General features: G+C 37.7%; 1 protein-coding gene across 58 annotated transcripts in view, besides 3 other annotated features; it reads right to left on the reverse strand.

Annotated features, from left to right (window-relative positions):
* QTMAN (queuosine-tRNA mannosyltransferase) overlaps positions 1-14,037 on the reverse strand; it is a 395,002-nt gene that overhangs the window by 339,584 nt on the left and 41,381 nt on the right. The window lies entirely within an intron of this gene.
* Positions 231-525: a silencer, noted in NCBI's record as "tiled region #4867; HepG2 Repressive non-DNase unmatched - State 24:Quies". NCBI's record gives its function as "represses a minimal TATA promoter and a strong SV40 promoter by Sharpr-MPRA in HepG2 cells {active_cell/tissue: HepG2}" and the evidence as "EXISTENCE:reporter gene assay evidence [ECO:0000049][PMID:27701403]".
* Positions 9,971-10,472: an enhancer, noted in NCBI's record as "H3K27ac hESC enhancer chr2:145045189-145045690 (GRCh37/hg19 assembly coordinates)". NCBI's record gives its function as "activates a minimal SCP1, AML or CMV promoter by ChIP-STARR-seq in naive H9 embryonic stem cells {active_cell/tissue: H9 hESC(naive)}" and the evidence as "EXISTENCE:reporter gene assay evidence [ECO:0000049][PMID:30033119]".
* Positions 13,119-13,619: an enhancer, noted in NCBI's record as "H3K27ac hESC enhancer chr2:145048337-145048837 (GRCh37/hg19 assembly coordinates)". NCBI's record gives its function as "activates a minimal SCP1, AML or CMV promoter by ChIP-STARR-seq in primed H9 embryonic stem cells {active_cell/tissue: H9 hESC(primed)}" and the evidence as "EXISTENCE:reporter gene assay evidence [ECO:0000049][PMID:30033119]".

Here is a 14,037-nt window from a genome sequence, read left to right on the forward strand (position 1 = left end):
AAATTTTTTTTTTCTTTACTATAGAACTTACCTCCTATCAACATTACTGGATTGACATTTTCCCTTTCCTCTCTTGAAACTATCATCTATTTTAAGATAAGATTTTAAGACAGCAAAGGTGCTAAATCAATATGTCTCATGCCCCTTTCCTTTTTGAAAGCTGTGGCAGATATAGAAGATTTGTCCTCACCACCCACCCAATCCCATTCTAGCATGTCATACAATACCAAAATGGCTAGAAAGCTAAAGTATACTTTTGCTAGACCTCCTTGCAATTAGGATCTGCATATGCCCTGAGTTTCCCAAGGAGAAGCACTCCTAGGAAGCCAAAGGGAGAAAGAAAACAAGGAAAGATAGCATCAAACACAGGCAGATCCACCAATGATGGCAGGCGAGGTAATGATTCTTCTGGGGCCAGCAGCAAAAACTGAAGCTCTTCATTCAGTAGCTTCCAAATTTGAGCAGAGCATTAGGGTTCTGAGACCAGAACTGGCTGCAGCTCACTTAGTAAGACAGCTGAAAAGTGTGGTTCTAGCAGGAGTTGCATCTAGAAGCTCAGCCTACAGTCTTTTGCTTTTGCTCCCTCAAAGACCTAGTAAACGATTACACCTTAATAAATCCCCTTCTGCTTAAGCTAGCTCTAACATTTCTCTTGCAAGTAAGTTACTTAGACTCTTGGTTTAGCCTCATGATTTCTAAGTGCAAAGAGTGGAAGAATACTCAACATATATTAGGGATAACAGACACTAAAATTCTGTAGTATGAAAGGAAGGAAGGGGACAAGGCAACATTTATTACAAAAATTACCATGCACCTACTACGGGCCAAGAGCTTTACATGTAGTCTCACTTAATCTCCACAATAATCCATCAAAGTGAGTGTTTTCCTTCTTTTTTTTTTTTTTTTAGCTGATGAGAAATGGAAGAAGAGAAACTTGCCCAAGATGCACACCTCGTGACTTCTGGAGTAATGACAGATCAAGATCTGTCTGACTCCAAAGCCCTGGTTCTTTCTATACCACATCTTTTACTGAGCACCACAACCACAGTGCTCAGCATGCATGGGCTAATTAAATTATCCACCGTGATGGAATCATCACAGAGCCAGGAAAGCAATTCCTGAAAAGTGTCACCTAGACCGTTAATATAGTATGCCCTGTAGAGTCAAGTGTGATGTTCAAATACAGAAATAACTAGATGATGATTATAATGATAATAGCATCCAACTACCATTTACTGAGTGCCTATTATGTTTAAAGTGCTTCATATACATTATTTCATTTAATCCTTTGAACATCCCAGTAACAAATGCACAGTAGGTGCTGCTTTCATTTTACAATAGAAGAAAATGAGATGTAGGGAGATTAAGAACTCTGCCAAAGATTACTGCTCAAGTCAAGTTCAGTGGCACAATTTGAACCCAAGTCTCTATGATGTTCCAGCATGTGGGTGAGGATCACACCTTATATATATTTCCTCTTATCTTCTACAGGGCCAAACAACGACGTTATGCAAATAAATATTCAATAAGTCAGTGATTTTACTTTGAAATTAGGGACATCAGATGCACATCAAAAAGCTTATATAACTTCAGCAGTCCAGGCAGACAGTGAAAAGACATAAAGGCCAATGTTTTCCAGGAAGAGTGAAAGGATCAGACCCACCCCGCTTCCCTCACACTCTTCTAGCCTGCCCACCCTCTACTGCATCTCCTCACCGCAAGAAAAAAAAAAAAAAAAAAGAGCTACAAGCAAGTACTATAAGTTGCTCTATCAACACTACTACACTGTTAGAAATTTCATACCATGCTGTCCTTAGAGAACTGTATGAAAGCAAGGAAATGCTGCGGAACAGCCCTTCAGATACCTGCCTCAGATCATCTGGAGAGCTTGTTAAAACATTCCCTGGCCTCATCCTTAGGAATTCCAATTCAGCAGGTTTGCGCTGGGGCTTGAGAAATTTGCAAATCTAACAAGCTCTGATACTAACACTGGACCACACTAGTTTCAATTATCATCATCCTAAAACTTTTTGAACTTTGTCCACCAAGTTCGGCCACCAAAAAGTAACTCATGACAATTAGGAAGATGGTATTCACCTCCTCCTTGGTATATACCATCGCTTTGTAATGGAGATATAAGCAAGTCTGAAAACAGCCAAAATGTTCCCAGAGCAGGGGCTAGGGAGTATACATAGTCTATATCCAAATAATCAATGGGCCCTCAATGAGTCAAGTAGACATTTACAACTATCAGTGACACAATTATATGCATTTGTTAGAAGTTGTGGCAAGGGGGTGGGGCTGGGAGAAGGTAATAAAATTTGAAAAAATGTACTAAGTGTATGTGGGAACTCAGCACAAAGAGAAAATGTTGCCTTGGACTGGTACAAAACCTTACTTTTTGGTAATAAATGGCCGAAATTTTTAGTAAAATGACATTAACAAATATTTCCCAAATAAACACTAGTACTGTTAGCAGCATAAAAAGTATTCAGTGTATTTCTAGATGATGATACTGAGCTACAAAAGGCCAAGAAAACCCAAGACAACACATACCCAAAGATGGAGTCACTGTTCTCTTTTATTTACTAACAGACAATTAAACTTACTTATTTAAATATCATTATGACAAATCCACCCATATACAGAAATAGAAGCTTGTGTTGTTAAACAGCTCAAAATATGGTTCCAAACCACATGTGCTGCGTTACAGAAAAAGTTGTCTCCTAAAGCCAAAACACCACCATTTAAAATTACACACTAGCAAAATCAACAGCATAGATGCAGCCTTCCATTAAACAAAAGGCAGTGCAGGATTTTGGGGGTTTTTTTGTTGTAATTCGATTGACATCAGGGCACTTGAAGTCTACACTAAGAAACCATATCAAAAATAAAAACAGGAAAAGAAATCATAAAGAAAAAGAAACTGATAAATTTGCCATTAAAATTCAGAACTTATACAGAAAAGAAGACCTCATAAAGTGAATAACTCTACAAACTGGAAAAATGTATTTCGCCCACACATAACCAATAATGGTGTAAATGCAGATGCTAGGGAGAAAAAGTCTACAAATCAATAAGAAAAGGACAAATGACCCAAAAGAAACAGGTAAAAAACATGAACATGTAATCCACAGAGAAGGAAAACCTTAAATGATCAATAAATACATAAAAAGATGCTCAATGTTAACAATGAGCAGAAAAATGCATATTAAAACAACCCTATGAAATTCATGCCTATCAGAACTTTTTTTTTTAATTTTATTATTATTATACTTTAAGTTTTAGGGTACATGTGCACAACGTGCAGGTTTGTTACATACGTATACATGTGCCATGTTGATGTGCTGCACCCATTAACTCGTCATTTAGCATTAGGTATATCTCCTAATGCTATCCCTCCCCCCGCCCCCACCCCACAACAGTCCCCGGTGTGTGATGTTCCCCTTCCTGTGTCCATGTGTTCTCATTGTTCAATTCCCACCCAGAATATTTTTTTAAAGTCTAACAATATCAATGTTGCCTGGGAGAGAGTGAAACAAGAATTCTCTTACACTTTCAGAGAAGCGAAGAATTCTCTTCACTTCCAAATTGCTGAGCAACTTGGCAATATCAGCTAAAGCTCAGAGATTCTACTTGCTACAATCCAATAATTCTATCCCATTATATATCATCAGAATTAGAGAAATTCACAAGATATACAAAATATTTATACAAGACTCTCCATAGCAGCATTGTTATAGCAAAAAAAAAAAAAAAAAAAAAAACGGAAAATAACCTAAATGTCCAGCAACAGCACAAAAGATACAGTATAATCATACAACTGAATATAATATAGCCCTAAAATTTCACTGAACTATAGTAGTGGTGTTATGGGCTGAACTGTGTCCCTCCAAAATTCATATGTTGAAGCCCTAACCTCTAGCACCTCAGAATAACTGTATTTGGAGGCAGGGCCTTTAAAGAGGTGATTAAGTCAAAATGAGGCTATTAGAGTGGGTGGGTCCTAATCTAATCTGACTAGTGTCCTTATAAGAGGAAATGTCCTTATGAGAGGAACTTAGCATGCTTGCATATAGACCAGAGAGGACCATATGAGCAAGGTGAACAACTGCATAGCCAGGAAAGAGACCTCAGAAGAAAGCAAACCTGCCAACACATTGATCTTAGAATTTCAGCCTCCAGAACTCAGAAAATAATTTTTTTTTCTTAACTTTTATTTTAGGTTCAGGGGTACATGTGCAGGTTTGTAATTTCTGTTCTTTAAACCACCTCATCTGTGGTATTTTGTTATGGCAGCTGTAGAAAACTAACACAACTTAAACATTCAAAAGAATCACCCGGAAGGCTTGTTAAAACACAGATTGCTGGTCCTTACTCTGAGTTTCTATTCACTAGGTCAGGAGTGAGGTCTAGACAGGGCTAGCTTCACAGCTACCAAGCACGGAAGGACCCTGCACCTGGTTTAATGCTCTGCTGTCACCATCTTGACATTATTAATAGTTTCTAAACATGGGGCCCAGCATTCTCATTTTGTACTGGGTAGCACAATTTATTTATTCAGTCCTGGCCTGAGAAGCTGTATTTTTAATAAGTTCCCAAGTGATACTAAGATTGCTGGTCGGGGACCAAATTCTGAAAACCACTAAACTAGAGCAACACTTATTTTAACCTAAATAAGTTTAAAAATATAATATTGGTGAAATATTATATATTTCACCCATATATAATATTTATATATTATATATATGTAATATATTGGTGAATTATATATTGGTGAAAAAAGAATAAATTTCAGAGGGATAGGTACAGATATCATTTATATGGGCTTTTTATTATTGATACATGCATATTAAATAAATGTATAAAAACCTCTGAGGCTAGGGAAAGGAGAATGGAATTAGGCATCAGCATCACAGAGATCCTCACTTCCATCTATAAAGTTCTATTTAAGAAATAAACAGTTAAAAACTGAACTAAACATGGTGTGAATTAATAGGAAATATGTGTATTGGTCTCTGTCCCTGGTTCCTCACACAGAACTTCTAAATCCCTTGGAATTTCCTGGGTGATAGGAGCATCTTTTTTTCTAATGAGGCAACTCTTGGTGGGCTCCTGGATGATCACCAGAAAGACCAAGCCGTGATTAGAAGCTTGGAACCTTCAGTTCCACCCAACTCCCATCCTATGCGGAGGGGAAAGGGAATAGATAATGAGTTAATAATCAATCATGCCTACCTGATGAAGCCTCCAGAAAGATACCTGAACTAAGGGGTTCAGAGAGCTTCTGAGTTGGTGAATACATCCACGTGCTCAGAGTGGCACACCCCCAGTCCAGAGGGAAAGAAGTTGCTGCGCCCAGGACCCTTCCAGACCTCACCCTACACATCTCTTCATCTGGCTGATCTGGCCGTTCATTTGTATCCTTTATCATATCCTTTTTTAATAAACTGGTAAAAGTATTTCCCTGAGTTCTGTGAGCTGATCCCAAGAAGGTGCTGGTGGGCACCTCCAATTTGTAGCTAAGTTGGACAGAAATTGAGGATAGCCTACTACTTGAGATTGGTGTCTGAAGTGGGGGACAATCTTGTGGGATCAAGCTCTTAACCTGCAGGATCTGTCACTATCTCCAGGCAGATAATGTCAGAGCTAAGTTAAATTGTAGGATAACCAGTTGGTGTCAGACAACCAGTCAGTGAGGAAAAAACCCCATAAACATTTTGATGACCAGAGGTGAAGTATTCTGTGCTGAGTTTGAACATAGAAGAAAAAACAGTTGTTTTCTCCTATTATACACACGGCAAAAAAGGTTCAGATCTGACAGACCTCGGAGGGAGTGACATTGTATTGTACTTTTCTGTGAATTTAAAACACTTGAAAAAAATTTTAAAGGGAAATAAATAAATCTTAATTTTTATATAACCTGAATAAGGCCTAGTAAAATAGTCCATTTGAAATTAAAATTTTGCCAGTGAGAAGAATTTCATAAATTCTATTTATGAAAAAGTCCCTTCAGAATAACCAAAATATAGTTACTTGAAGTTTGACAAACATAATATTAAAAACTAAGTGTATATCCACTTTAAATGCACAACACACTCTAAAAATAACTAAAAGATGAAGAAAACTAAGTTACTAAAAATGAGAACTACCATCCATTGAAAAGAATAACTGTACCATGCAGGTTAGTGTGACTCTAGTATGTCTTTCATACAAAATGAAAAAAATAAATTTTAAACTGTTTATAAAGGAACAAAATATACTGGGTGATGAAATTTCTCCAAACCTGGAGAAAATATATGGAAAAAATTATGTCCCTAACATATAGAAAGTCTATTTGAATTAAAATGAAAGAAATAAATACTAAATATTAGAAAGAAAATTTTAATCTAAGATAGCATAAATGCAAATTTTACAAAGGATACTTTTAACTGTCAAATTAGGCAACTTTGTTTACAAAAACAAATAATCATACTGCTGTTCTACTTTAGTAGAGATATAAAATGGTAATACTTTGTGGAAAGAAATATAACAAATTAATCAAAGACCTTAAAAATATTCACATACTTTTATCCAGTAATTATCTTTCTAGAAATACCTCCCATGGAAAAAAATCAAAATAAAGACAAATAATATTCATGTGCAAATATATATTCATCACAACATTATGTCTAGCAGAAAAAAATCATAAAAATCTTAAAATGGTATGATACACCTACATGATATATAAAATTTAATGACATGTGAGAAATTATTATGATAATTAAGTAAAAAAGGAAAGTTATTAAGTTATACATTATGATCTTGACCATGGATGGCTATAATATTAAAAAAAACTGAAAGGAAAATGACAAAACATTAACAGTCTGCCTCTGAGTAATGGAATCATGGTGATTTGTTTCCTCAATTTCTTTTCTATAACATGTATGTCACTTCTACAATTATTATAGAAAAATAAAAATAAAAGAAAATTAGCATTTTCCACTAAATATAAAACATTTAAAACTAAGGTATTAAGGCATTTATTAAAGTACCTTAACTAACTGTTCATTATTTTAATAAATCTTTGAAACATTCATTTCCGTAAAAAGGTGTTAAGGGCCAGACACAGTGGTTCATGGCTGTAATGCCAACACTTTAGGACGCCGTGGAGTGAGGACTGCTTGAGCCCAGGAGTTCAAGATTAGCCTGGGCAACACGGCAAGACCTCATCTCTATAAAAAAATTTTAGGCCAAGCACAGAGGCTCACACCTATAATCCCGGCACTTTGGGAGGCCAAACTTTTTTTTTTTTTTTTTTTTTAATTAGCTGGATGTAGTGGAGCACTCCCGTAGTCCCAGATACTCAGGAGCTGAGGTGGTAGGATCACTTGAGCCCAAGAGGTCAAGGCTGCAGTAAGCCATGATCATGCCACTGCACTTCAACCTAGGCAAAAGAGCGAGACCCTGTCTCAAAAAATAAAGAAAACAAAGGAAAAAAAAAAGTTGATTGGTAGCTGGTAAGATATAATGTACCTTTCAAAATGGAAACATATTCTTCCAGAATTCCTTCTTAGGTTTTTCTCTACTCTAAATCCTTCCAGTCACATGCACCTATATTTGGTCTAACTTCTAAGTATCTAAATATCCTAAAAAAGTTTCTTAATTTTATCATTCTGGGTCATTATAAATTTAACATCTTAACTCATACACTTTCATCAACCTGCCTAATGATAATATCTGAGACCCCAGGACCTCCCATTCACTGAAAGGGTCCCTTTAAATGTATCTCTGTTTTACAAAACATATCTATAAGGAAGGGATCATCACCTTGACTTTGTAGATGAGTGAACTCAGAGAGGTTAAGTAACTGTCCCTCTGTCACACAGCTAGAAAGTGGCAGAACTGTGACTTGAACTCTGATGATTCAACTGTAATACATCACACCATTTTTCAGTACACCTAATGTAACATAAAATGCTGGGTTTTGCCATTTTAACCCTGCCCCCTAAGGGTTCCAGAGTTCCAGAAAAAGATACAATTACAAAGAAAATGTAATTGAAGGAGCTTTACATTAATCATAGGAAAATATTTTAATCTGTCTCCTACTTTCTACACTTAACTATTGAGCATTTTGGCCCCAGAAAACTGAATCAATCTGAGGCCGGAAATAAGAGAATATAGATAATCAGGTAAAATGATGTAGCCAACTATTTTCCAAAAACAACCACAGCAATATTCCCAGTCCCTCGTGCCCTTCTAGTAGCTTGTTACTCTCTCATCCAGAGGTGGAGACAATTTTCCCTCCAGCTTGAATTTAGCAGGCCTTTCTATCAAGTAATAAAATGTCTTGGAAGTAGTACTGTGTGACTTCCAAAAGTAAATTATAAATAGACAATACAGGTCTTCGCAGCTTCTCCCTCTCCTTCCTCTCACCCTTAGAAGACAGCCAACACACTAAGAAGATGCTCAGGCCACATATAAATGTTCTAACCAGTATCCAACCACCGTAGGTGTGCATGAGTAGCACTCAAATGATTCTGGCCCTCACCTTTGAGCCACATCATCTAACACAAAGTGTAGCAAAAACAAATTATGCCAAATGAACCCTTCCAAATTAGAGACTCATGAGCAAAATATATGTTGTCCTAGTTTTAAGCCACTGTTTTGCAGCAGTTTGTCAAATAGCAGTAAATAACTAAAGCAGGTATCTTAGGCTATACTCACAGTAAGTTAAAGAATTTAGTGGTTATTTCCAGTAAACTTATATGATAATTTTTCTGCAATTATCCTCCTTGTAAATTAGCTGAACCACAGCTTATAATGCCTTTGACTTTGGGTTGCTCTCTAAAGATTTAAGCATTCTGAGCTACTTCATTCCCCTTTTAGAGTCAAACTACACACCTTGTTGAAATTTAAAGATTAGCGTTAACATCTTTTCAAGGGTGAGTTCTAAGCAAGGATGCCAAGAAACTCCCTTCTAAAAGACAAAGTCATGGCATCTATGTTTTGGTTTATACTATAAAAGACACTTGTGGAAAGATGTGCAGTTACCAGTGTTCCCCCAGAATATATTTCCACAAAATATTTTAACAGAGAATGCAGAGTAAATGTGGGGGACAACTCCACAGATTTGAGTGAAGAAAGAAAAAAAATGGTATCACACTGCACTCCTAATGCAGACATCTGTACTCTGCAGATTTGTCCACTGGTTTAGGCCAGTGTACTGTTTACTGATTGCTTTGACTTTCATTATTTTTTTATAGCTTCACATGTAATTTCTAATCAACTTAGCTGAAAGAAGTGACAAATTCTCCTTTTTCATACAAATGTAACAATTTTCCCCTCTAGAAAACATTTCGATGATGAGGTTTGCATGAAGCCAACTTAAATGCAAATAGAACAGAAAAACTGAAAATAGTTCACTTTATAGCTTTCAGGAAGGAGTTTTAAGGTGGTAGTGGCCAATGTCATATTAAAAGTTAGCCAAGGTTGACTGCAGAGATTAATGATAAAATGGTATTGGCCGGGCACGGTGGCTCACGCCTGTAATCCCAGCACTTTGGGAGGCCAAAGCGGGCGGATCACAAGGTCAGGAGATCAAGACCATCCTGGCTAACAAAGTGAAACCCCGTCTCTACTAAAAATACAAAAATTAGCTGGGCGTGGTGGCGTGCGCCTGTAGTCCCAGCTACTGGGGAGGCTGAGGCAGGAGAATGGCGTGAACCCGGGAGGCAGAGCTTGCAGTGAGTGAGCCAAGATCGCGCCACTGCACTCCAGCCTGGGCGACAGAGCAAGACTCTGTCTCAAAAAAAAAAAAAAAACCTTATAAAATGGTATTGTATGAACATAATATGTTCTTTGATTGTAAAATACCTCAGGCTGGTAATCAAATAGAAATTATATAAAGATTAGAGGAAAAAAACACTTTGTTTCTTAGGCATGGTTTGCATTAGTGTAAGACCTTTTTGACAGCATAATGAAGACCAATCTGTTCCTTCCTACTAAACCTAGATCTATCTCAGCTTTAACCTCCCAATAAAGCCTTATTCAGGGTCACACAGGATAGAAGAGAGTAGTGTCCTCATCATTAGCAAAGTAAAATTCCTATATTCTCCTTAACTTTTTGAACATATAGTATATGTACACTAGGTTATTTGCTAAAATTGATGTCATTTATTATACAGTTAATTGACAACACAATTTATTTATGTATTCATTTTATTTTTATTTATTTATCTTTGACATGGAGTCTCGCTCTGTCGCCAGGCTGGAGTGCAGTGGTGCGATCTCGGCTCACTGCAACCTCCACTTACCGGGTTCAAGAGATTCTCCTGCCTCAGCCTCCCAAGTAGCTGGGATTACAGGCGCACACCACCACACCCAGATAATTTTTGTATTTTTAGTAGAGACGGGGTTTCACCATATTGGGGTTTCACTATGTTGGCCAGGATGGTCTCGATCTCTTGACCTCATCATCTGCCCACCTCGGCCTCCCAAAGTGCTGGGATTACAGGCGTGAGCCACCGAGTCCAGCAGCCAACACAATTTATATCCAATCCTTTGATGAAAATAATATTCTTGAAATACATCAACTTCAGATTAAAAAATGGAAAATGAATCCAAAAGTTTATCTGTTATCCCCCCTTCTTTGAAGGGGAACAAAAAAACTGTACCACAAAAATGACAATCTTTCTATATAAATTTAAAGAACAATGGAAACCCAAGTAAAGGCTTAAAAATATACTTTTTACGATTAAATGTTAGGGTGATTCTATCCTTTACAATTCATATCTGTTGTATAAACACTATGGAATCTAATACGTTTTCAGAGCTCATTTGAATTAATATGAAATAAACAGTTGAAAACACTAAAAACGTTAAAGCACACTGGTTCCAGGAGCATATTTTCAAGACAGGGAAAACTACACTACTCAAATCTCAACAAGGGAGTGGCAAGTGAGAGCTGGTTAAAGAAATTCCAACAATTCCTACTACAGAGAAATGTTTACATTAAAACAGAGGTCTTCCAAGGCCTGCAAACTTCTCTTTTTTGTTAATCTGAATGAGAATATCCCTGGAATTGTCTACAGATCCCACCACACCCTACTGTATACTACTTGGCTATTTCAATGTTCTATGAAGAATTTGAGTTAGCGAAATCTACTGCTGACCAAAGACTGAAGAAGAGACCATCTGTTCTATACACTACTACACCCCAAGCCCCTGGTGCAACTACATACATACAAAATATGTTTGTTGAATGAATTAGAGGGAGGGAAACAGATAGGGAGAAACAAAAAGGAAGGAAGAAAGAGAACAGATGCCCTGCTGTAAACATGAGTAAACAGAAGATTCAAACTATATTAAGAAAATATAATTGTTGGACAAGAAAATTCTTTTTTTTTTTTTTTTTTTTTTGACATGGAGTCTCGCTCTGTCGCCCAGTCTGGAGCGCAGTGGTGCGATCTCCACTCACTGCAAGCTCCGCCTCCCGGGTTCACGCCATTCTCCTGCCTCAGCCTCCTGAGTACCTGGGACTCCAGGCACCTGCCACCATACCCAGCTAGAGACAGGGTTTAATAGAGACGGGGTTTCACTGTGTTAGCCAGGATGGTCTCGATCTAACCTCGTGATCCGCCCGCCTCGGCCTCACAAAGTGCTGGAATTACAGGCGTGAGCCACTGTGCCCAGCCAAGAAAATTATTTTCAGTCATATTTCCTGACCATTAGTAAGTCAGAACCCTGGCATTATTTCCCTATGAAACTCATCTAGAAAACACTGAGCATAGGCTCAAAGTGCTGCTAGAAGCTCAAAGTGTAGAACATGAGAACATGTGCATAAAACAACTAAGAACAAAAAATATAGTAAATGAAACAAGAAAATTAAAATGGTACACTAGAAAATAGCTATTTACTGGTGTAAGAAGCATCCAGTGGGGATAGTGAGGGCCGGGGGAGAAAATAGCTGTTTAACCCAAAAGTCAGCAGTGATGGAGGAATAAAGAAAGACAAAAGAAATAAGACACACAGATTATAAGTAGCAAAATGGCAATTGTAAATCTTACCTTATCAGTAATTACATTAAAGGCTAATGGATTAAACACTATAACCAAAAGGCACATATTGGCAGAATGAATAAGAAAACACGATCCAACTATGTGCTATCTACAAGAGACACACTTTATTTTCAAAGACACAATAAGCTGAAAGTAAAAGAATGGGAAAAAAAATTGTTCTGTTAAAAAGTATAGCCTAAAGCTACCTCCTCACATATATTAAGTTCAGCCTAAAGGTTTCTCCATACGTAGTGAACTGTAACTCAACTGGATGTGTAAACAGACTGTAACCTACTCTTGCACCAATCACCAAGTTTCAGCCAATCAAAGACAGCCAACTGTTCAAACTGTGTTCAAATAAGGCACGCCAAGCTGTAACCAATCCAGCTGTTTCTGTACCTCACTTCCGTTTTCTTTTATGTTACTTTTTTTTTTTTCTGTTCATAAATTTTCTCCAATTCAGCAGCACAGAGTCACTCTGAACCTATTCTGGCTGGGGGCTAAGGGGATGGAACAGAGGGTCCTGCTCTATTCAGGAATCATTCTTTGCTCAATCAAACTCTGTTATATTCCAGTTGCTTAGTCCAAACTTTCTCTCATACCCCATATTCAATCTGTCATAATATCCCAATGTTCTACTAATAACATATATATCCAGTACTAGCCATTTCTTCTCACATATACTGCCACCCTCCTATCGAAACTTCTATCAGCTCTGGCTAATGCCTGGACCATTCCACAATCCTCCTTTCTGGTCTCTCTACCTTATCCCCATTGTCTATTTTCATCCCAAAGACCAAGATAATCCTTTTAAAGTGTAGATAAGATCACTCTGCTTAAAATCCTCTGGCTTTCCATATCAATGCATATAAGTCAGAAGGCTGTCAATGGTTTAGAAGGCCCTACCCAATCTGCCCATGTTCACTGTATGTCCTCTCAGACCTCATTTCCCAGGTCACCCCATTACAGACACACTGTCCTCTTTTTCCACCTAAATACATCAGAGGCACATGCCTTTGTCAGGAATGCTCTCCTGGCAAATATCCTCATGGCTTATTCCCTCACCTCCTTCAATTCTTTCCTCATTTTATCTGCTTCTTAGTGAGGCCTTTCCTGACCACCCTATTTAATACTGCAACCAGACCCCTATACCTCTCCCAATCCCCTATATATTGCTTTATTAATTTCCTAGGGCTGCTATAACAATGTACCACAAACTGGGTGGCTGATACAACAGAAATGTGTTATCTCATAATTCTGAAGGCTGGAAGTCAAAGATCAAGGTGTCGGCAGGGTTGATTCCTTAGAAGGGCTGTGAGGGAGAATCTGTTTCAAGTCTCTCTCTCATCTTCTAGTAGCCTCAGGCAATCCTTGACTTGTAAATACTGTTCTCTAGTTAATCTTCACATAGTCTTCCCTCTGTAAATATCTGTGTCTACATTTCCCCTTTTTATAAGGACACCAGTCATATTAGATTAGGGCCCACCCTAACAATCTAATGCTAATTTGATTATCTCCAAAACTAAGTTAAAGTCTGTGAAAATCTCATCTCCAAATAAGTTCACATTTTGGGGTACTAGGAGTTAGGACTTCTACATTTCTTTTTGGAAGGGGATACAGTTCAACCCATAACAGCTAGTACAACCACAGAGGAAGCTGAGAGGGAGCAAAACTTTGTACAAATGGACAACAGTCAGCACAGTCTCAGCCCATGATAATTGTTTTGCACCCTCACCCTTTATTCAGGTACTCCTTCCATACTCAGTTCACAGTCTACCCAAAATGTTAGGCTTTGCCTCTAGTTTTCAGCTCTGTGCTCATATGTTTAACCTGAAGCTAGAATGTGACTTTTATAGCTCACCCTTTAACTCTTCACAATCAAATCACTTTAACATTATATCACTTAATTCTGGATCCCTGGCAAGCCCCAGTCTCTCTTTTAAACCAGCTGGCTCTTAGCTCAGGTAAGCCAGCCACTGGGGACATCATTTTTCTACCA

The sequence above is a fragment of the Homo sapiens genome, chromosome 2 (genome assembly GCF_000001405.40).
Source record: "Homo sapiens chromosome 2, GRCh38.p14 Primary Assembly".
In the NCBI taxonomy this organism is placed as follows: domain Eukaryota; kingdom Metazoa; phylum Chordata; class Mammalia; order Primates; family Hominidae; genus Homo; species Homo sapiens.